Below are 24,847 nucleotides of genomic sequence, written 5' to 3' on the forward strand. Positions count from 1 at the left end.
CAGAGAGCCTGGGGCCATGGCTTCCTGGTCAACATTAGGCCCTGCTGCATGGTGACCCCTGGGCAGGCAGTGGGAAGCCTGAGGTGTGGCTCCTGGTGGCCTCACAACTGCCACTCTTTCCTGAAGCTCCTATTTGTTCTGTCAGCTAAGCCCCCATCCCAGTAGGCCAGCAACACACTCAAGACCAAGAACAGGCCATGGTGAATCTCAGGGCCACTGAGTGCCTGGGCTGGCAGGGGCAGAGTTCCTCAGGGCTCAGTGACATTTGGACTGAGCATGGGCTTTGGAGTCATACAGCTACACTGAGCTCCCAGCTTCACCGTGATCAGCCCTGTGTCTGGGACAGGGGCCTCACTGTTCTGGAACTTGAGACGCCATAGTCATAAATTTAACACACACTTCTAACTGCTTTTTCTTTTTTATCTGTCTTTCTCTATAATCACCATGTACTACTGGTCTCTTGTGTTTATTTAAATTAATAAACATGTTACACAGTGTGTATTATTCTTCCTCATGAGTTCTTTACTATATTCTATGATTCCACCCATATGAGGTACTTATGTAATTTCATTCATAGAAACTCAAAGTAGAAAAGCAGTTAGTTCTTAGAGGACAAAAGGAAGGTAAAGGGGGATTGTTGTTTAACAGGAACAGAGTTTGAGTTTTGCAAAATGAATAAAATTCCCTGTGAATGTGGATGATGGTTGCAGAACAATGTGTGATTAATTCCTCTGACCTGCACTTTTAAAAATTGTTAAAATGGTTAATTTTATGTATATTTTACCACAATGTTAAAAAGGACTTTTTAAAATGAACGGACTATAGATATCTGCAACAGCATAAATAAATATCACAAATATAATCTTACATTTAAAAATTGATGTAAAAGTATCCATACTCTGTAATTTCTTGTATTTAAATCCAAAAATCAAAACTGAGGTTCTGGCTTCCACTAATGATGAAGTAGCTAGTTTAACTAACAATCTCACAGAGAAAAATGATGAATCCCAGGTAAAACATTATATGTTATTATAGAAACACTTCTATATATAATAGATATATGAAATATGTGTGTATAAAAACTGAATGCATATTTCAGCTGTGCCCTCCATAGAAGAGAGAAGTATTGAAGTTAGAAGCCAGCCCAATTAACACCCTCTTTAAAGACAACACTCTTCAAACGGACAAAACAGAATCCAGAGTCTCTTTAACTCTTCTATACAGTCTCTAGTGCACAATTTTCCAATTCAGGAGATGCGTGAAAACACATGAAAATATAATACATACACAAGATAAAAAGCAGGCAGTAGACATCTCCAAGATGTCCAAGACATAATCAGCAGACAAGAATTTGAAGGCAGCTATTATAAGCATGCTCATGGGGGCAAAGGAAAATATTCTCATAAATGAACAGATGTGGAACATCAGCAGAGAAATGAAAAATGACCACATAGAAAAATAATAAAAATAATTGTGAGCTTTTCTATATATCAGAAACAGAAGACATAGCAATATAATTTAACCAATCTGAGGATAGAAGTAAAAATAGTTTAAAAGAAAATGAACAGAGCCTTAGACCTATCTGTGGGATGATTGATTCTGAGAAGAAGAGAGAGACAGAAAAAATTAAATGGGGTAGAAAAGCAAATCAACAAAATTTAAAGAAAATAAACCGAGGCTTAGAGACCCATGGAATCATTCAGTCTGAGAAGGAGAGGAGAGAGTCAGAAGAATTAAAAGGGTTACAAAAATAAATCAACAACTAATATCTGAAAACTTTCAAAAATTGTTCAAAAACCTAATTCTTTTTTAATCTAAAGATCCACAAACCCCCCACAAAAATACAAATAAAACCATACCAAGGCCATATTGTGATTTAAGAAACTAGCAGACAGGACTTTCAATTGACTTGATATGATTTATTATTTTTACTACTTATAAGAATGGAAATAAGTTCTCCTTAGTTTTTTTCTTGGAGAAAGTCTGACATGTGAGGCACAGATGAGTTATTAAAGGCAGATGACTTTCCAGCCTTGTCTTAAATGTTCCATTCTTTACCTTAGAAATTATTTAAATTTGTGTCTTCCAAATACTGTAGTAATATTGATGCTCCAAAGAGATGTCCCACGGAGATTCTGCTCTTGTGTGTCCACCCTGCAGGGAGCTGAGGCAGTTTCTTATGACAGTTTCAGAAGCGAGTAGTCGTGCAGTACTTAATCTAAAAAACTTAATGGAAACATGAATTAAGAGAATGATCACTGTTTAGTTCTATCAGCAAACTATTAAAAGTGATCCAAAGGAGGTATTTATAAAGAGATATTAAAAGATTTTTCAAGGGAGCCTTATTCAGGGCAGAAACGCAGACACTATCGCTGACCTCACCACAGAAAATACCCTCATGGGTTGGGAGGGACCAAGGGACGCTCTGGTCCTGCTGACCTGCATTAATCACAGCCAGGAGGTCCACACTAGTACCATGAGGCCTGGGAAGCAGCCTGCGTGGGGTCAGAGAAGTGGTGGATGTGGCTCCCAAAGTGGCTTACGGGGTCCCTTCCCTGTGGCTGTTTCCTTACTGGATGCAGCAGGGTCAGGCCCTTCCCCTGTGACGTTTTCTCCTCTTTATCACAGTGGCGGGAGCGTCCCCGTGAGAGGCCCGACCCAGGTGTGGGCCACGCTGCGAGCCCGAGGACCAAGCGGCACTCCTGGGATGCAGAGGAGGATTTGTGACAGCTTAGGGAACAGAAAAAATGGTTTCGAAAAGGCTAATGGCAGGTGACTAAGGACACGATGTTTTCATTACTGGCAGTGAACTGACGGTTTCATACACTAACAAGGGGGCTTCTCGAGGGGATCCCAAGGAGCCCAAGAACTGCCAGGTCGCCCACCATTACCCTACGCCTAAGGACAGGCTGCACTGAGCATGTCTGAAACGGTAGGCCCGTTAGCCCCACCCCTAGGAACGGGTGCACTCCGCATGTGTAAAAGGGCAGGACCTTTACCCCACCGCTAGGGACGGGCTGCACTACGCATGTCTGAAAGGGCGTGACAAGAGGGAGGAGCAAGAAGGGGCGGGGTGGAGGGGGAGGGGGGCAAGAAAAGGGGCGGGGTGCGCCCAACATCCGGCGGAGAAGTATTACCATGGCAACCCTCCCGCGCAGGCCATAAGAGGCAAATGAACCTTTGTTGGTTGGCGGGAAATCGAGACCCTGGCAAGGGGGCTTCTCCCTTGGAGAAGCCTGAGAACTGCCAGGTCCGCGGCCGTTAACCCGCCTCTAGGGACGGCCGCACTGCGCATGTCTGAAAGGGAACTAGAAAGGGAGGAGCGAGAGAGGGTGGGGCTGAGGAGGAGGCTGTGTGAGAAAAGGGGCGGGGCGCGCCCAAAGTCTGGCGGAAGAGCGTTACCCTGGCAACCCTCCCGCGGAGGCCGAGAGAGGCCACCGGCCCTTTGTTGATCTGCGAGAAATCAAACTACGAACACGACAAGCATTAGCCTGCAGCTCGAGGAGACAAGGTGTCACAATTACAAGGGGAAACTAGCCGCCCTAGCTCCACTGTCTCCCCAGCACGAGAGATTTGAGAACAGAAAGGCTTCCCTCCGCAGGGCGAAACTGCTGGGCTGCCTGGAAGGGCGAGGCAGGGAGCGGAACCGTCTTCAGGAAATTTCGGGAGTTCCGGGGTCAGGTCCACTCCCCGGCTGTTGTTGTGTTGTTGGCAGGGCAGAGGGTCTAGGATGCCAGCCTGCTCCGGGCTGCGCTGTGCGCCTAGCCCAGGGCGGGGGGATGCGGGGCGACACCCGCCTCCCGGTGCATCCAGGAGTTGTAGTCTCTTCACCGGTTCCCCACTGTGGGTGGTGGGGCTGCAGGAGGACAATTCAAATTGAGATAGGAGCGGAGGCGGAGCGCGGCCGTGCAGGGAGGGGCAGGGCGGTGTAGGCGGCTTCATTTACCAAGCTTTGCTGGCCATTGTTTCCATGCCAAACCCTTGCCAAGGGGATTGTCAGGAGAGGAACTTGAAGGGGAGGCGTGGGCTGGCCAGTGAGGAGGGTGTGTTTTTGCGAAGTGCGCCCCGTCTTTGCCGAAATTAGGAGTGTCTGGTCCTCACTCACGCGGCTCTCTGCTGCTCAGGTCGATTTTCTCTCCCACCCTCACCCAGGCTCTTTCCACAGCATCACCCCTGCCCCAGCCCCTGGAGCCACCTGCTTTCCTAAGTGGTTTTGGAAACTGGGCTGAGGTCCCAAAGGGTGTCCACTGTGCTGTTGCTCTCCGCTCTGTCCAAGCAAAGCACAAGCTCAGCCGACTTTGAAAGACACCCACCGCCTGGCCTGGGAATGCACAAGTTCAGAGCTTTGCAAGAAGTGATCATGGGCTATGGCTTTGTGAAAATGTCACCCTCACCAGTGCCTTTTTCGCGGACGTGGACGTGGAGGAATGAGGGAGGGTAATCACTGGGCTACCAAGGTACTGCTAAGAGCAGAAGAGAAAATCCCAGTTTTCAGCCATGTGTCTGGTTTGACATTTCACCAACCCATTTAAGTGTGCAGGCCCCCAAATATCTACCTAAAGATTATGATAGTTTAGGCATTTTACACTTGAAATTATTGACCTCATATCCACTGAAGCCTGACTGGCCAGTGTCTCAAAGACACAGATGATGACCTGATCCCTCAGGAACAGCTGGTGCTCCAGCTTTGTGGAGGTGAATTTCAAGGTATGGATTACTTGGGGGGTCGTTGAAACCTGTCAGGCTCAGGAACAGATGGTGCTCCAGCTTTGTGGAGATGAATTTCAAGGTATGGAGCACTTGGGGGGTCTTTGAAACCTGTCAGGTTTCATATCTCTGCTTTGTGTGAAAAGATCATCACCTACAGTAGTCAGGGATGTGCCTTTACTTACTGGTGCTCATCTGTTGAAACTTTATATCTAGACAATGGAAACATTGAGGAGCATTTCTGCTTTCATGTAGCCTCTTAATAATTGACGCCCTAAAGCCCTGTGTCCTCAGGGAGAGTTCCTTTGATTCCTGGGTGGTACCAGGTTTCATGCTGTTAAATCTGTAAAAACCTGCGCGTTAATCTCCATGAATATAAGACCTTGTTCTTTCTTAAATGCCCCAATTTTTTCTTCTCTTGTCTTATATTCTGAGCAGGATTTCAAATACTGTATGTAAGGAAGTAGTGAGAGTGGGCATCTTTATCTTAAAATAAATCTTAGAAAAGATTTCAACATTTCACCACTGACAATGTTAGCTATGGGCTTGTCCTATAGCTAATAAAGAACGCATCTCTTTATTTTGAGGTATATTCTTTCTATACCTAATTTGCTATAAATTTTGTTAGGAATGGATTTTAAATTTTGTCAAAATAATTTTAGGCATGCATAAAAAGTCATGATTTTTAATCTTTTTGTTGTGTAAATAAGGTGTATAGCATTTATTGATTTCCACATATTAAAATATTATTGCATCCCAGGAATAAATCCAACTTGATCATAACATCCAACTGTGTTGCCCAGGCTAGTCTCAAACTCCTGGATTCAAGAGCCCCTCTCCTCTCAGCCTACGAAAGTGCTGGGATTAAAGGTGAGATCCACTATGCCTGGCCATATATATATATAATTTGTAAATAAAAATAACCTTATATACAAGGATAAATTCAAATGTCCACGGTGAGGTCTGGGCTTCAGCATAAGGAGGAAGTCTTGCCTGAAAAGGGCTGCAGCTTGGAACTTTTTACCCTGTCGTCATGTGGCTATGAGTTGGTTCACATCTTCTGTCATTCAGGACCCGAAGGGGTGGGACCTGGGGCCCTATTATCACTGGTGCTGGGGTAAAAACTGTCTTAAAACTATCATTTTAATGCTTAGCAATGTTAATTTTTAGTGAGAAACAAGATTACTTAATTTAATATAACCAGATTTTAAGTTACTAAAAAAAAACCCTAAAATTATGACACAGGTATTTCCTCTAATGTTTTTTTGGGGGGTTTCAAGTACCTATGTCATATACTGAAACCTACTGTTCTGTAAGCCCTACCCTTAAAACAATCTTGTTGTTATTGTGAACAGTTACTTAGTGTAAATCCTACCCTTAGGCAAATTTATATGGTGATTTCAATTGTCCTTCACATTCCTTTCCTGTGTTAAGTGTCTGGGTTTAGGGGTTAACAGTGGGAGGATCCACCATCTTCAGCCATCTGAGACATAGCTTCTATTCATAAGTCCATCTTAAATGTTCCTTTCTGAGAAACTTGATTTGTCAGCCTCATTCTTCAACCTTTCAACTCCCTTGGCTTTTAAAGGCAGGTTTACATATACCTACTCACAACAAAACACCCTCATATATATGGTCTGTCAATTTCTAGAACATTTTTATGTGGTTCAAGACTGTAATGTGTAGCACATGTAGTTTTGTATATGGATAGTATATTTTATATAGTATATTTTATATAGCTACTTTATATTACACATCACTAAAATACATGTTCAGTAAGTGCTCACTTAACGTCATTGATAGGTCCTTAGAAACTGACTTTAAGTAAAACAAAATACTGTATGCCATGGAAAATTAACTTGTTTATATCAATTAGCCAATGGTAAAATTGGTTTTATTATATAGTATATTGTTTTACTTAAAGTCACAGTTTCCCAGAATCTATCAAAAAAGTGAGAACATACTGTCATTAGTATTATGTAGTACATTACAGAATTACACTGTTATGGTATGTTATTGTAGTCTTAGCAGTTGGTAGTATAATGTGTTTCAGTTTCCCCCAAGGTCACAGAATTATCCAGGCCAACCAATAACACCTCCTGTGGGAACCAGGAGCATCTCACCCTCTTGATACTACAAAGCCTTCCCCGACACCTCCTGTTTGTTCTCTCTGCTCCCAGGTGCAATGGCTGTGTGGGTCTGTATACCTTACATAGCTTTCTCCTTCCATGATTATATGTAATGAATAACTGCTGTCAATCTCATCTGTCCAGTGATTGGTGCCATGGTTTTAACTATTCCAGTAGCATTAGGGTGGTAATTTCTCCCTCACCAATGGGGTAAAGGGGAGGCTAATCAAACAATTCACAACACTAACTGGATTAATCACCCATGACGGAGGACATCTGCTCAACTTTAACTGCTTTTGGCCTACTGGTTTCATGATACATTAAAAGTCATCTCTGTCAGAGCCATCAGTTTGTGGTGGGCTTTTGCTTTGGTCTAAATAACAATTTGTGGCCTTTATCATGATTTGCCTTCCCTGCCCACACTAAAGCACACATTACCTAGACATAAATATTCAATGGACTCTTCTCCCGCGTGACGTGTCATCATGTTTAGCCTGTGTTTGGCAGGCAGTTTGCAAGACACTTGCGTGTCAAGGCAGTGAAAACACAGCACCTTAATCAGTCAGCACTTCAGTCCTGATTACCAGGAGTCCGGCCATATCCCTGTGGTCGCTTCATCTGGTCTGCTTACTATTACTAAATGCCTGGGTAGTCATCTGAACGTTGTTTATTATTGCACACTCTCAGGACAGACCCAGGGATGGTCTTCTGTAAAATTGCAAAAACAAAAGGGACTTTTACTTTGGAGAGAATTATGCTTGTCATTCAGTTGCTCTAAGAAGTGCTACTGTCATGCAAGCAAGAACAGTGGCCTTGTCTTTTCTGAGCTGCTGCTTCCTTTGCTGCTGTCACGTGCAATCTCATGATGAGGTGTGCATTCCTTGTGCCTTATGGCTTAGGCACTGATGAGTCATAAAAAGGAGAAAGAGAATTTAATATTAGTCCCTCCCAAAACATTTGGGGTAATTCTCTCACTGTAAAACCCCTACTCATCATGTGAACTTTTAGCACTGCTGCTTACCAGTATGCCAATGGTGCAATCTTAGGATCAGAAGTTTGATGGACTCAAAAAAAAAAAAAAGTACCATAACGAATATGGGTGCTAATCCCAGTGAGATGGAGAGGCAGTAAACACCTTCTTCCAAAGAGAAGACAGATTGCAAATAAACAAATAATGATATAACTCAAGAAACTAGAAGAGGGAGAACTTATCCCAAAGTTAGCAGATGATGAAATTAATTAAAAAAACAGAGCAGAAATAAATACAATGAACACTAGAAAAAAAAAACAGAAAATGTAGAAAAAATGTAAGAACTTGTTTTTTTTTTGAAAACATAAAATCTTCCTATCTTTAGCTAGGCTAAGAAATAAATGCTCAAATAAATAAAATTAGAATTAAATGGAAGATATTACAACTGGCAAAACAGACATACAAAAGGTCATAAGATTGCTGTGTACATAGACTCCTATTTACAATGATATCCAAACAAATTGTGTAAGGGAGAAGACATGAATAAATTTCTAGACATGTACCACCTACCAAGACTGAGCCATAAAGAAATAGAAAACATGAATAGATCAGTAATGAGTAAAGAGTTTAGATCTGATGACTTTACTCCTGAATTTTACCAAACATTTAAAAAGAACCAAATCTTTGAAAAAAAATTGAAGAAACAGGAATACTTCCAAACTCATTTTACGAAGCCAGCATTACCCTGATACAAAAACCAGAGATAGACATTACAAAAAAAAAAATTACACGCCAATATCCCTGATGAACATAGATGCAAAATCATCCACAACATAGTTGCAAATGAAATTCAAAAGCACTTTAAAAGGATAATTTATTTGATGTGGGTGCCCCCCATCCCACCTTTTCTTAAAAAATGAAAAAAAAATAGCATGGCATGGTCATACATGTCTGTGGTCCTACCTACTTGGGAGGCAGAGGTGGGAGGGACACTTGATCCTGGGAGGTAGAGGTTGCTGTGAGCTGAGATCAGGCCACTGCACTGCAGCCTGGGTGACAGAACAAGATCCTCTCTCTCTTTCCCCCACTTTGTGTGTGTGTGTTGCACACACAAAGGGGAGGGGTGAGGGTGTGGATGTGTGTGTATTATTCAAAATGAAAACAATGACAATTATTTTTGTGTACATTTATATTTTTTGGAGAAAGAGTATCACTCTGTCACCCAGGCTCAAGTACAGTGGTGTGATCTTGGCTCACGGCAACCTGTGCCCCCTAGGTTTAAGCGATTCTTCTGCCTCAGCCTCCCAAGTAGCTGGGATACAGGTGCCCACCATCTTGCCAAGCTAATTTTTGTATTTTTAGTACAGACATTGTTTCGCCATGTTGGCCAGGCTGGTTTTAAACTCCTGAGCTCAAGTGATCACCCACTTCAGCCTCCCAAAGTGCTGGGATAACAGGCGTGAGCCACCGTGCCTGACCAATGACAATTATTTTTAAATTTTAGATTTTACAATCTTTCTCTCCTCTTGAATTTGAGGCAGCCTGAGCTTTGAAAACTGGCAATCTTCTATTGCAGCAATGTGCAGTAGAAATAAAATGTGAGCCACGTGTGTCAAAGTTTTCTAGTAGCAGCATAAAGAAAAAGAAATATGAGTGAAATTGATTTTAATAACTTAGCCCAATATATCCAAAATATTTTAACATATAATTAGAATGAAATCATTACATATATATAGATAGATATAGATATAGATATATATGTAACTAAATCTCTAAAATACTTTCTGATATTTTTCCCTAGCATATCTCAGTACATACTGTGTACAATTTGGGTGCTCAGTAGCCTGTTGTGGCCAGTGGCTGCCACATTGCAGGTGCATCTCTGAGGGCTCTTGACTTTTCTGACCTTCGGGAGGTAAAGGGCCTGAATTTTCCTTTTCTGCCAGATAGGAGTGAATGCCTCTTCTCTGCCAATATCACTCCTGTTTCAAGGGTAAGAGAGGTGGTGCACTGAGAGACAGGAGGGACCTACAGGAAACAAGTGTCCACAGATAGACCACTGCTGTCCGCTGCTGCTTGGTGTGGACTCATCACTCTTCCAGAAATCAGACAGAAGTCCAAAAAATGGGGACCCAGAAGGGGGAAACCTCATGTTTTTAGATCTGTCCATAGCCTTAATCTCCAGAATTTAGATGTCAAGAGACTAGATTAAAGGCAAACCTTTTATCTTGCAATTTGGCTTTGGCAAATTAAAATAGAAATAGAAATGTGTCACTATAAAAATCAATTATATACAAAGGAAGGCAATAAGAGCAGAAAAGAGGAGAAAATACCTACGAGAAACAAATAGAACTATTAACAAAAAGGAAATATTCCATTCTTTTCAGAATTAAAATGAATATATACATGGAGTGAAATATACACTGGAAATATGTAAATTGGCTAAAGAGATTTTAAAAAAACAAGATTTATTTTCTGTTGTCTATAAGAAACTCAATTTACATCTAAGCACACAGATAGGCTAAAAGTGCCAGTATGAAAAATACCTTCTAGGAAAACTGCAATCAAATGACAGCAACGTGGATCATAATTATGCAAAATACACATTAAGTCAGAACTGAAACAACAGACAAAGAAAGATGTTGTATAATGATAAAACTGTCAATTCACTGGGGAAGCTGTGTTAATAATAAATATGTGCACACTTCACATCAGGGTTCCCAAATGTATAAAGTTAACATTGACACAAATGAAGAAGGAAATGGCTATGCAAAAATAGTAAGAGACATAATTACCCCACTACCCACTATCAGTAATGAATAATAAAGCCAGACAGAAAGTTAACTTGAGAACAGAGAATTTGAATAACACTGCAAACTCTAAACCTAACAGACATATAGAAAACACTAGTCACAGTGAATAGAAGTGAAAAAACAAAAGAAACAAACACTCCACACAGCAATATCAGAATATACAATTTTTTCAATAGGTCATGAAACATTCTCCTGGGTTGATGACCTACTAGGACACAAAACAAGTTTTGCTAAATTTTAAAATGGTAAAATATGGGCCAGGGATGGTGGCTCATGTCTATCATTCCAGCATGTTGGGAGGCTGAATTGGGAGGATTGAGTGAGTTTAGGAGTTCATGGCCAGCCTGGGCAACATAAGGAGACCTTGTCTTTACAAAATATAAAATTAAAAAATTAACTGGGCATGATTACACGTGCCTGTGTGTCCAGCCACTCAGCAGGCTGAGGTGGGAGGATTGCTTGAGCCTGGGAGATCAAGGCTGTGGTTAGCCATAATTGAGTCACTGTGCTTCAGCCTGAGTAACATAGCAAATCTCTGTCCCAAAAGAGATTAAAATATTACAAACTATCATTTTTGATTAAAAGGGAATACAATGAGAAATCAATAGCAGAAAAAATACTGGAAAATCTACAAATATGTGGAAATTAAACAACCCACTCTTCAGCATGCTCTCGTTAAGGGTCGGAAGACAATATTGTGAAGATGTTCACACTACCCAAAATTATCTACAGATTCAATGTGATCGCTGTCAAATTTTAACTGTCATTTCATTTGCAGAAATACAAAAAAAATTCTAAAGCTTATATGGAATCTAAAGTGAGTATCAAGAGCCAAACAACTTTCTAAAAGCATAATATTGGAGCTATGACACTCCTTGACTTCCTAATGTATTACAAAACTACAGTAACCAAACTATTTGGTACTGACATAAAGGCAGACAGACAGACCAATGGAACAGAATAGATCACAGGAATAAACTGTCATATATATGGCCAAATGAGGAGTTATTTTTATATCCATATTCATTGCAGCATTATTCACAACAGCTGATAGGTGGAAGGAACCCAAATGTCCCTCAGTGAATGAGTGGATAAAGGCAATTTGGAATATACAAATAATGGAATATTATTCAGTTTTTTAAAAGCAGGAGATCTGATTATTTTTACACTAAGAATAAATCTTGAGGACATTATGTAAATGAAATAAACCAGTCACAAAAGGACAGACACTGTTTGACTCCAGTTAAATAAAATATCTAATGTAGTTAAACTCTTAGAAACAGAAAGTAGAATAGTATCAGTCAGAGCCTTAGGGGTGGAAATAAAAGGGTAGTTGTTGTTTCATAGGTATTGAATTTTAGTTTTACAACATAAAATCATTTTAGCGATATGTTGCATAGCAATGTGAATATATTTAATATTATTTAACTATGTACTTAATATATTTAAGATGGTACATTTTATGTGTTTTGAGTACATTAAAAATGAAAAACTTTCTAAAGAGATACATATTTATAACCTTTTTCAAAAATTACCTCCAAATCATAAAAATGTCAGAAAAACAATAAAGAGGCCAGGTGCAGTGGCTCATCCATGTAATTGAAATACAACAGGAGGCTGAGGATGGAGAATAGCTTGAGGCCAAAAGTTGGAGACCAGCCTGGGCAACATAATAAGACCTCATCTACAAATCACAAGCAAAAGGAAACTGGCAAATTAAAAAATATGTGAGACTTAAAACAGCAGACTCTTGACGGCTCAAAAAATTTAATATTATTAAGATGTCAATACTACTCACAGTGAAACACAAATTCAAAGTATTTTCTATCAAAATCCCAATGTTACGATTTTTTTAGAAATATTATTTTAAGTCCTAAAATTCTTACGGAATATCAAGGGACAATGAGTAGCCAAAGAAGCTTTAGAGAACGAAGTTAGAGGTGTCACACTTCCTGATTTCCAAACAGATTACAAAGCTATAGAAATACAACCAGAAAGACAAATAGATGATGGAACAGAATAGAGAACCCAGATATAGACCATCATGAATATCATCAGATAATCTTCAAACAAGTTGCCATTACCAAACAACAGGGAAATAACAGACCCTTTAACAAATAGTGTTCTAAAAGTGAACATCAAAATGGAAGAAAATGAAATTGGACTTCTGACTTGAACCATATACAAAAATATCTTAAATAAATTAAACAAATGTAAGTAAGATAGCTATAAAACTCTTAAAATATGAGGTAAAAATCATGACATTTGTCTTGGTAATTTTTTAAAATATGACATTAAAAGCAGAAGTAACAAGAAAAAAAGCAGAAAAATGGGACTACCTCAAATGTAGTAAGCTTTCTGGACATAAAGGAAACATTTAATGTCACGTAAGAAATGAGAAAAAAATTACAAATGATATATTTGATAGAAGTTAATAACCAGAATGTATAAACAACTTTAAAACTCAACAAAAAAAACTGAACAACCCTATTTAAAAATGGGCAAAACTCTCAACAGATGTTTCTACAAAAGAGATATACAAATGGCCAAGAGGAATTTGAAAGGATGGTCAAATTCACGAATCTTTAGAGAAATGAAAAGCAAAATCCCAATGAGATATTACTTCACACTCATTAGGATGGCCACTATCAAACGAGAGAAAATAATAAATATTTTCAAGGATGTAGATAAATTGATATACTTGTGCACTGAGTGGTGGAAAAATAATAATGCAGCCATTATGAAAAATAGTACAGAGGTTCCTCAGATATTAAAAATGGAATTATTGTACTATCTTGTTGGAGGTCAAAAGAATGAGTGTTGTGACCAACTCATTATACCACTGGAGGCTATATGAGCAAACAGCAAACTGTTCTCATGAATGCAGGATGTTGGCAAGCTGACAACTGCATCTGCAACCAGAAGGAATGCTGAGGGCAGTCATGCCCCAGGCACAGTGTTTCTTGTGGTTATCTATAGGAACATCTGGAGCCTGTTGTACAAAGAAACCAATTATGTGAGCCTGTGATAAATCAGGCAGCTGACTAACCATTACCTCTTCCTCCCTGTTGATTCTACCTAATGAATACAAAGGGCTGTATAAGCTCAGGGCCCTTGTTCCCTAGAAGCAAGGAGCCCCCTGACCCCTTCTTTAAAACAGATCTTTTTGTCTTTGTCTTCATTTCTGCGTTTGTCCTTCTTCTTCAGTCCTGAACTGACAGCCACAAGTGGCACCTGAACAGGGACTTGAACAAAGAAGGTCTGCTGGAGCAGAAAAAGTGAAACTGACCAGATGAATGAGAAACCCTGGGATGAGTCTGCCTGCAGAGGATATAAGGTCAGTGTCCTAAAGAGGTACTGGGAGTGGGAAGTTTCTGAATCAGGGTAACGTGGGGGCAGAGTTTGTCTGTTGAGGAGCAGCATTACGTGCAGTTGCTTAAAGTTTTACGTAAACAATCTGGTGCTCAGGTTAGTTCTCAAACGCTGACTAAGCTGCTGCAGGAGGTTATCATGCATAACCCCTCGTTTCCGCAGACAGGCGCTCTTGATGTGGAAAATTGGAACTGAGTAGGGGAAGGATTAAAATGGGCTCATCAAAAAGGTCTTAAAGTTTATCCTTCCTTTTTTTTCTGTTTGGAGTTTAGTCCATACTGTCCTCCTGCCATTATCTCATTCTTATTCTGCCAAACCGCAGGAGCCATGTTCTGAATCTCAAATTTTGAAAGAATCTTTTGTCCCACCCACAACACCCAAAGAAAATAATAAACAGGAGAGGGAGGATGAAAATTGGCGTCTACCACCCCCTCCAGTAGCAGAAACACCTGTACCATCTCCTTCAGTAACAGAAATAGAGACCCCACTGCAAAGAATTCTATGCTCTGCTACCATAGCTGGAGAGCCCTTAGGACATTGCACTTTCACTATTTCTGTAAGGCCTGATCCAAATAATCCACAGCAGTTTATTTATGAACATGCCTCACTAGAGTTTAAGTTGTTGAAGGAATTAAAAGCTAGTGTAGTGAATAATGGAGTACAGAGCCCATTTACTTTAGGATTGTTAGAATCTGTATTTTGAACTATGTGTCTTCCATCCTTTGATGTAAAGCATTTGGCTCACACTTGTTTGTCTGCTAGTGCATATCTGAAATGGAATTTAAATTGGCAAGAACTGTGTGCACACCAGGCTAGACAGAATTGTGCTGCCGGACACAGGGACATTACAGAGGATATGCTGTTGGGTAATGGCCCTTATTCAGACCTGGAATATCAAATGACACTCCCAGACGCTGCTTATAAGCAGCGTGCACTGGCTGCTAAATGCACCTGGGCCACAATTCCAGAGGAAGGGGTCCCAATACAATCCTTTTTACATGGCATGCAAGGGTCAAAGGAGCACTATGCACATTTTCTTGCATGATTACAAGAGGCAGTGAGGCATCAGATTCCTCATACCACTGCTGCAGAAATGCTAACCTTAACTTTAGCTTTTGAGAATGCAAACACGGATTATAAATGTGCACTGGCTCCTGTGAGATGTACTAAAAACTTAGGACATTTTCTCAAAACTTGTCAAGATGTGAGAACTGAGCTTCATTGCTCTACAATGTTAGCTCAAGCAATGGCTAATTTAGTAGTTAACAAATCTAAAAAGGGCTAAGGGTCAAACCCTAAAATGGGAAAATCTTATAATTGTGGAAAAATCGGACATTTCAAAAAGGAATGCCATCAGACCTTGGGCAAAAGGGATCTTATAATGCAATACCCAACCTTCAGCAGAAAAAATTCCAGAAATTTGCCCTTGTTGCAATAAAGGAAATCATTGGACTAATCAATGCAGTTCAAAATTTCATCAGAATGGCACCCCTCTGTCGGGAACCAAGAAGGGAGCCTGGACCCGGTCCCCTCAAACAATGAGGGCATTTCCTGTCCAGGCCACAACCCCATTTCAGGGAGGAGTCTATGGAGGAACATTGATTCCCTTTCCCCAGGAACACCCAGAAGCACAGGAATAGATCTCCCTGTCAGAGAATGGGTTACATTAGTTGGAGGAAACAAACCCACTAAAATTCCCACTGGTATTTGGAGACCTTTGCCAACAGGATATATGGGATTAATTTTGGGTAAAATCCATCTCAACTTACAGGACATTACTGTAGTCCCAGGAGTTGTTGACTGTGATTATGAAGGAGAAATTCAAGTAGTGGTAATATCACAAGATTTGTTAGTTTTTGAACCTGGAGAATATGTAACTCAACTACTGCTTATTCCCTGGGAGTTGTTTCCTTCTCCACATAAGGAGAAATGAGAGAATCAAGGATTTGGGAGTACAGCTAGGAGGAAAATTTATTTATCACAACCCATAGCATCTAATAGACCCACCTGTACAGTGCAAATTAAAGGAAAAAAATTTCTATGGGCTTATGGATATGGGAGCTGATGTGTCAGTAATATCTAAAAACAATTGGCCCCCATCCTGGCCCCTGCAATTAACTCCTACATCGCTAGTGGGAATAGGAACAGCTCAAAGTGTTCAACAGAGTGCTGAAATTTTACCCTGTCTCAAACCAGATGGACAGTCATGTACTTTTAAAATTTATTTTGCAAATGTAACTGTTAACCTATGGGGCCAAGATTTACTTACAGCATGGGATATAAGACTTGCAAATGAAACTATTGACAATCCAGGGTTCAAAATGTTAAAGAAAATGGGATGTCAGGCAGAAAAGGCTTAGAAAAGTCCCTACAGGGAAACACTGATCCTATATCAATAGCTGGGCAAACAGATAGAAAAGGGCTAGGTCATCAGAATTTCTGATGGGAGTCACTGATATTTCTCCCCCATCTACTGTTTTACCGCTGGAGTGGCTGACTAAAAAACCTGTATGGGTGGATCAGTGGCCCCTATCACAGGAGAAACTAACACAATTCCATCCGCTAGTAAAAGAGCAAATGGATGCAGGACATATTGAAGAGTCAGTTAGCACCTGGAATTCATCAGTATTTGTAATTCCTAAAAAGTCAGGAAAATGATGACTGCTACATGATTTGAGAGCTATTAATGCACACATTAAACCAATGGGTGCATTACAGCAAGGTCTGCCATCCCCGGCAGCCTTTCCAGGAGGCTGGCCTCTCAAAGTAATATATCTTAAAGATTTTTTATTTATTTTTTTATTTTACTGTTACATGAGCAGGATAAGCATCGATTTGCCTTTTATGTGCTTTCTGTTAATCAAAAAGAGCCTGTCTCTCATTATCAATGGAAAGTCTTACCCCAAGGCATGCTTAACAGCATTATATCAGCATGTTGTAGGATAGGCATTAAAGGTGCCTCTGAATATGTTTCCCACAGCCTACATCCGTCATTATATGGATGATATTCTTTCTGCCCCTCCTACAGATCAAATTTTATATCAGTTATTCAGATAAATAAAATGAGCTTTGACTTAAATGGAATCTCAAAATAGCTCCAGAAAAGGTGCAAACAACCTCCTGATACCAGTACTTAGGCACTATTGTTACTGAAAGAAGTGTTTGGCCTCAGAAAGTAGTCCTCCATAGGGACAGATTACAAACTTTGAATGATTTCCAAAAATTATTAGGGGACATTAACTGGCTGTGCCCAATGCTAGGTATTCCTGCTTATCAACTCAAACACCTTTATCAGACCCTTCAAGGAGATTCTCCATTAGACTCTCCTCAGCAACTTACTAAGGAGGCAAAAGCTAAGTTACAACTTGTAGAGCTGATGTTTTGGCAACGACATGCCTCCTGGCTACAGCCACAAAAGGCTTTGCTTCTGTTTATTCTTCCTACCCCCCATTCAGCAACAAGACTTTTAGGCCAATTCATAGTCAAATCTGTAGTAGTATTAGAATGCTTTTTTTAAATCCAATCAGACAGTGAAATCTTTGCAAGTTTATCTTTCTTTAATTACTCAACTTATAACAATAGGTAGGCATAGATCAAAAATGCTTATGGGATATGATCCAGACAAAATTATTGTTCCCTTGGATTCCCAACAACACACTGCAGCATGGGAAATGTTGACTGCATGGCAAATTGCTCTTGCAGATTTCATAGGAATAATAGATAACCATTATCCATCAGACAAAATTTTGCAATTTTATAAAGTTCACCCTTTTATTCTCCCTGTAATCACTCATCACAAGCCTATTCCAGGTGAACAGACCTATTTTACTGATGGTTCTGCCAAAGGACACGCAGCTATTTATGGACCTAACATACTTAGACAATAAAGACCTCTGGAGCTTCAGCTCAATGCTCAGAATTAATGATAGTTATTCAGGTTTTACAGCTCACCACTTCATCTCCTAATAACATTGTTTGTGATTCAGCCTATGTTGTAAATGTAGCCAGTCGTGCTGAAACTGCCACTATTAAGAGCACCCTAGAACCAGAGCTGCTTAACTTGTTTCTAAGACTTCAACAAGCTGTTCGCTCTCATGCTACTCCTTTTCATATTTCTCATATTCACTCTCACACGCAACTTCCTGGACCACTATCTCTAGGTAATGATAAAGCAGATAAACTAATCGGTTCTGTATTTCAACAAGCCCAAGCTTCTCATGCATTACTGCATCAAAACACCTCTGCCCTTACTCGTATGTTTCATCTGCCTCATGGACAGGCTGCAGCTATTGTGCAAACCTGCCCCACTTGCCAGCATGTTCCTGGTGTTGCACTTGTGGAAGGATGTAACCCACGAGGCTTGGCACCAAATGAAATCTGGCAGATGGATGTTACACATATAGCAGCCTTTGGGAAACTCAGCTGTGTTCGTGTGACTATAGACACTCCCATATGCTACATGTCACATGCCAAACAGGAAACAGCTGGCCATGTCCAACAACATTGTTTGTCATCATTCGCCCATATGGGGGTCCCTAAACAATTAAAAACTGACAATGGACCTGCTTGTGTTAGTCATGCTTTTCAAAATTTTTTACAGTTGTGGGCAATCACTCATAACACAGGAATTTCTTACAATTCTCGAGGACAAGGCATTATAGAGTGGGCACATCAAACACTACAGTGTATGTTGTAAAAACAAAAAGGGGGAATAGGAGACAAGCTACCACCTCAAACAAAATTACATTTATCCTTATTTACTTTTAATTTTTTACTTTTGATATGGATAGTAAGACTCTGGCCAAACAACATTGGCAAATGTTAGAGGGAAAGAGGAAAGTTTACCCAAAGGTACTATGGAAATCCCCAGAAGAAGGACAATGGAAAGGCCTGGTGGATTTACTGACGTGGGGATGAGGGTATGCTTGTGTTTTTACAGGAGATGGATAAACCGTGTGAGTGCCCTCAAGTTGTGTGCGACCATGGAATGGGAGACTGGAGGGATACATGGATCCCAACTACAGGCCCAGCTCCTCCAGTATGAGCCATGAGCCAGTTGAATCTGAATGTGAAGATGGAATGAAGACCGACGAGAGTCACACTGACGTCAACCCTCATAACATGGGGTCAGATCAAGAAAACCACACCAGAAGCTGAGAAACTGGTGTAGTGCCAGGGTCAGGCAAAAACCCCTGACTCCATGTTTATGGCCATGCTAGCTGTAATATCCTGTGCAGTATGATTTTTCTGTGCAGAAGCAAAAACATATTGGGCATATTTTCCTAACCCACCGGTAGTGTGATCATACTCTGAAGCAGCACTCCTCCTGAGATATATCATGATCAAGGAGCATCAGTACCAGGACCTCTAACTCCCCCTGACACAGAGCAATTAGACTCTCATAACAATGGTATCAATTATACCACTCCATTGGAGGGACTTCCTTTATGTGTCACCCAGGATACATTGCTCAACTGCAGTTGCCTTGCAGTTTGATCCCAAGCATGGTTGAGTTACCATTAAAAAATTATGTACCTATTAGACCTTAGCTTTATTAATATTACTTGTGTAGTTACTAATCACTCCTGGCCCCATCACCCAAATTGTACTGATTATACAGAATGGGCTCCCTTTGATAATTCTCACCCCCCTCCTTGGGCCCACTGTCTTGGCCCCTTAGCTAGACAATAGTCCATGTTAATGGGAGACATTATTGACTGGGGTCCCTGTGGTCATTAAGATGGGAGAGATGAGAATCAGACCACATGGCATAAACTTCACTGGCACTGGTGGCGAAACTTTAACATCTCTTCACTTCAACACACTGGGATTCAATCCCAATCTGCCATGCAACTTGCTTGGCATGGAACGGGCTTTAGCCCACCTTTGCCTCAATGGCATTATCAAGGAAAGAGAGGTCCAATTCAGGAGTCTATGTGGAAGGCAGCACTCCCATATATGAATGGCAGCATTTGGGTTGGGACACTATCCAATAATAGTAATAGTGCTCAATACAGTTTAATGTTACCTTTGTAAAAAATGTTTGAAATTTGTGTTTTTAATCCCTATGTTTTTCTAGCAGCAAAAAAGGACCAACTCCAGGTAAACAATGCCCAATTGAATTGTGATTCCTGTCAACTCTATCATTGCCTTAATCATAGCACAATACAAACACACAGCATATCCACCCTAATAATTCTAGGTCGCATTCCTGGATTATGGATTCCTGTAAATCTATCTGAGCCTTGGGCAGCCACCCCCACTTTACATTTTGTAAAACTTCTTACTCAGCTTACTCATGGCACTCGTAGAGCCTTAGGCATGATAATTTTTACTATAGTCTCCTTAATTACATTAATACCCTCTGTTGTGGTGTCCTCAGTAGCACTGGACAGCTCCACTCAAACAGCTCAATATGCAGAAAATTGGATGCATACAGCTGACCAGGCATGGATGTTTCAAAATAAAACTAACACTGAGATACAAACAGAAGTGGCAATGTTAAAGACTACTGTTCTGTGGCTAGAAGAACAAGTACAAAGCTTGCAGTTGCAGTAGCAATTGCGTTGTCATTTTAACCATACTCATATTTGTGTAACCAATTAGGAATATAATCAAAGTGAATATCCATGGAACCTTGTAAAGGCCCATTTACAGGGAGCTGTTACATCCAATGTTACTTTTGATATTAATGATTTACAAAGTAAAATTCTAACAGCACCTCAATATCTTTTTCATAATTATTGGAATAATGTTACTATGTTTCTGTTTTTTGTTCATAGTCTGTAAAATCAACTGGAACACCAACCAGCAATTGAGAGCTGAACAGCCTGCAATTACCTTTATTCAATTAAATCAAAAGCAGAAAGGGGGAGATGTTGGAGGCTGAAAGAATGAGGGTCATGACCAACTCAGTATACCACTGGAGGCTATGTGAGCAAACAGCAAACTGTTCTCATGAATACAGGATATTGGCAAGCTGACAGCTGCATCTGCCACCAGAAGGAATGCTGAGGACAGTCATGCATCAGGCACAGTGTTCCTTGTAGTTATCTATAGGAACATCTGGACCCTGTTGTATAAAGAAAGCAATTATTTGAGCCTGTGATAAATCAAGCAGCTGACTAAAACTGTTACCTCTTCCTCCCTGTTGATTCTACCTAATACATGTGAAGGGCTGTATAAGCTCAGGGCCCTTGTTCCCTAGAAGCAAGGAGCCCCCTGACCCCTTCTTTACAACAAATCTTTTTGTTTTTGTCTTCATTTCTGCATTCATCCTCCTTCGTTCAGTCCCGAACCGACAGCCACATGATCTGGCAATCCCATTTCTGGATATCTATATAAATGTTCAAAGCAGGACCTGAAAGAAACATTTCACACCCCTGTTTATAAGAGATTTATTCTAAAAATCCAAAAGGTAGAAGCTACTTGAATGTCCCTTGACAGATAAATAAAATAAAATAAAATATGATATATACATATAATATGATTTAAAAAGAAAATCTTGGGCTGGGTGTGGTGGCTCATGCCTGTAATTCTAGCACTTTGGGAGGCCGAGGTGGGCAGATCACGAGGTCAGGAGATTGAGACCATCCTGGCTAACACGGTGAAACCCCATCTCTACTAAAAATACAAAAAATTAGCCAGGCATGGTGGCAGGTGCCTGTGGTCCCAGCTACTCAGGAGGCTGAGGCAGGAGAATGATGTGAACCCAGGAGGTGGAGCTTGCAGTAACCGGAGATTGCACAACTGCACTCCAGCCTGGGCGACAGAGTGAGACTGTCTCAAAAAAAAATAAATAAAATAAATAAATAAATAAATCACACACTGCAATGACAGTAAACCTTTAGGACATAATGTTAAGTGAAATGTGCCAGGAAACAAAGTGACAGTGAGTGTATGATTCCTCTTATGATATATCTTAAGTAGTCCAACTCACAGAAACAGAAAGTAGAATGTCAAAGGCTCAGGAGAGGGTAAAATGGTCGGTTGACGTTTATGGCTATTGAGTTTTAGTTTTGCAATGGAAAAGCTCTAGAAGCCTGTTGCATAACAATGTGGATATATGTAACACTACTAAATTATGCAATTACAAAGGTATAGACTGGTAAATTTTGTTGTGCTTTATTACAATTAAAATATTGTAAAGTGATACATAAAAGAGATACAGAGTTATAAACTTTTCAGAAAATTACCTTCAAATTATAAGCGTGTTTTTCTCACACAAAGATAATATAGATTCATCAAAAAATACATGGGCAAATTAAGACTATTTACATGACTACTCTCCTGAACAAGTTAAAACAAACTTTTGACATCAGCCAAGAAGAGAAATATGCAAGATAAGAATAAATGGAGTATATTTATAGAGGCAAACAAACACATGATTTTATTGGTGGTAGATATGACTGATTCATATTTTAATTAAACCCCACATCGACTCGATGTGTACATAGAGTTGCAGATTTACATCCAAAATCATAATATGTAGGTAAAACCAAATTCACAAAACACAAATGTCAAAGAAGCTACCCCAAAAAAGAAGCACAGTAATATGAAATTTCAAAACAAGAATGAGAGAAACATTAACAACAACAACAACAACAAAAACACTTCTATATAAAACATAGATGTACAATTAAGAAAGAATCCGCTTAGATAATTACAATTTCCCGCTGTGACCTTGCACTGGTGGTGAGCACAGATTTTGAATCATGACTATGTTAGGGAGACGCCCAAGGAGACAGACAGTGCCACCTCCAGAGAAGCCATTGCTTCTCCTCCTGCCGCTGCTGCTGCTGCCCCCACCGTCCGCTGCGCCTGCAGCCCCCACTGAGCGTCGGACTCCTTCCTGGAGTAGGGAGGTCCTGTTCCTTCTGGAGCGACAGACACCCTTTCTCCTGGCCTTCTCGCTTACTAGCCCGGCAGGTGCTGGACAGGAGATCTGAGCTGGTCCTGCGTCTCTGAGGAGCTAGGAGCCCGGCTGGGAGAACAAGGAGACGAACTGTGGGGAGAAGGGGCGACAGGAACGCCAGGCTCATGGGACCGCTGGCAGCGGCCTGGGTATGGCTGGCGGCTGAATGGTCAGAGATACGAGAGGTGGCCACTGTCCCCACCTTTGGCCCCCTAGCCGGCATTCGTACATTCTGTGCTCAACAAACGGAAGCGGCAGCTGGAGCTGCTGCTCCGGGAGGTGGAGTGGCCTGGCAGAGGGCACATGGCTGCCACCTGCTGCAAGGTGAGCTGGTCTGCAGCCTGGGCCCACAAAAGGCCGCTCTTGTGCAGGACACACCGCTGCCCTTGACCCTCTTGCTCCCCCGCCTGCTGTGCAAAATGCTCAGGTCCCTGATCTCGGGCTTTCCTGGCAAGTGCACTGTGGTGGGGAGGCAGCAGGGAGGAGGGCTTTTCCAGGAGCCCTGAACAGAGGATCTTGGCATAAAGAGGAGAGAGAGGTGGCTGACTGGTTCCACTTGTAGGTAGGGGGGCAACAAACCCCATGGGACCCTGTTTTTTCAGGGAGATTTCAGTTCACTTCTTATCTTTTCTCCACCCACTTGAGCCTCTGAGAATAGAGGAGACGAGGCTGTTTTAAATTGGCCTAACCATAATGGTCTGGACCCTTGCCCCAGGGCAGACCTAATTTTGGGGCTCTTTGCAGCATGGAGGCTCACGCCTGTCCACCCCAGGTGTCTTCAATATAGGGTCTAGTTAGGCCTGGCTGGCAGTGATGCTGAGACGCAGCACGACCTGGCCAGATCTTCGCCTGTTACAGGACATTATAGCCTTCAGTGCCCTGTGCCATTTATCTCGCCTCCAGAAGCCCCTGTGAGCCTCAGTGTTGCCGGTGCCCAGGCCCTGGCTGCCTCTCTATTAGGGTCCCATCTTATGCCTCCTAAATGCACCGGGGTCTCACTCTGCCTTTCTCCCTTTCCCAGAACAGGCCCCTTCAACTCCAACAGAACATGCCTGGACCATGTGCATCCCTCTTCAGTGTTAAAACAAAGAAAATTTATTTTTTTTCCACTGAACATGTAACTGATTTAACATATAAGGAGGTCAGCTTTATGCATAGATCTATGCATGTAAATATATACAAAAATTCTAACGCTGTGGGAAAATTAACATCCTTACACTTTGTTCAGTTATTTTATAGTTTTCTCTCTCTCACTCAATTGCTTTTTTTTTTTTTTTTTTGAGACAGAGTCTTGCACTGTTGCCCAGGCTAGAGTACAGTGGCAAAATCTCAGCACACTGCAGCCTTTGCCTCCTGGATTCAGGAGATTCTCATGCTTCAGCCACCTGAGTAGCTGGAATTACAGGCATGGGTCACCATGCCCAGCTGTTTCATGTGTTTTTTTTTAGTCGAGACCGGGTTTTGCCATATTGCCCAGGCTGGTCTCGAACTCCTGGTCTCAACTGATCTACCCTCCTTGGCCTTGCAAAATGCTGGGATTACTGGCATGAGCCACCATGCCCAGCCTACCTGTCACTATCTCTATGTTTATTTGTTCAACAGGAAAATTCTCAGTGAAGACTCCTCAGTATGAAGGAGATAAGCCTGCACAATCAGTCACTGATAGATGCTTAGTGGAAAAACTTCCAATTCCCATTTACAGCTCTCAGAGCTAGGATTAAAAACTCCTGGTCATAAACTCATGTGATGAGAAGTTATAGCACGCCCTCATTTTCTACATATCCACTTGCATTTATGGTTGGCTTTTGAACTTGCTAGAAGGGAAAGAAGTGCAAATGTGTCCTCCTTAGAGCTACTCTCCTCCCCTTGGTGGGTTTCCAGTTTGTGCATTGTCCAGATGGCCCAGGAGCTGACGATCAAAGGGAAGAAGTCATGTTTGTCA

At 41.2% G+C, this 24,847-nt stretch overlaps 1 long non-coding RNA gene and 1 pseudogene across 9 annotated transcripts; one reads left to right on the forward strand and one right to left on the reverse strand.

The window, feature by feature from the left end:
* Positions 1-1,898: 1,898 nt before the first annotated feature.
* TP53TG3HP (TP53 target 3 family member H, pseudogene) lies at positions 1,899-3,982 on the reverse strand (annotated as a pseudogene). 2 transcript variants are annotated; one of them, NR_034018.2, is made up of 3 exons: positions 3,138-3,982; positions 2,574-2,702; positions 1,899-2,226 (listed from the first exon to the last, which is right to left on the reverse strand). The product of NR_034018.2 is annotated as a TP53 target 3 family member H, pseudogene, transcript variant 1 (transcript). The 2 variants fall into 2 exon arrangements; NR_034019.2 differs by lacking the exon at positions 2,574-2,702.
* On the forward strand, positions 3,422-21,234 carry LOC105371204 (uncharacterized). Of its 7 annotated transcripts, none has more exons than XR_942166.3 (5): positions 3,423-3,511; positions 5,468-5,577; positions 6,761-6,887; positions 13,827-13,956; positions 18,931-21,234. It is a non-coding gene; the product is annotated as an uncharacterized LOC105371204 (long non-coding RNA). The 7 variants fall into 7 exon arrangements; XR_942172.3 differs by lacking the exon at positions 6,761-6,887 and having other exon boundaries at positions 18,931-19,117; positions 20,774-21,234; XR_007065193.1 differs by lacking the exon at positions 6,761-6,887.
* The last annotated feature ends 3,613 nt before the right edge of the window (positions 21,235-24,847 follow it).

This window comes from Homo sapiens, chromosome 16 (genome assembly GCF_000001405.40).
Source record: "Homo sapiens chromosome 16, GRCh38.p14 Primary Assembly".
Classification (NCBI taxonomy): domain Eukaryota; kingdom Metazoa; phylum Chordata; class Mammalia; order Primates; family Hominidae; genus Homo; species Homo sapiens.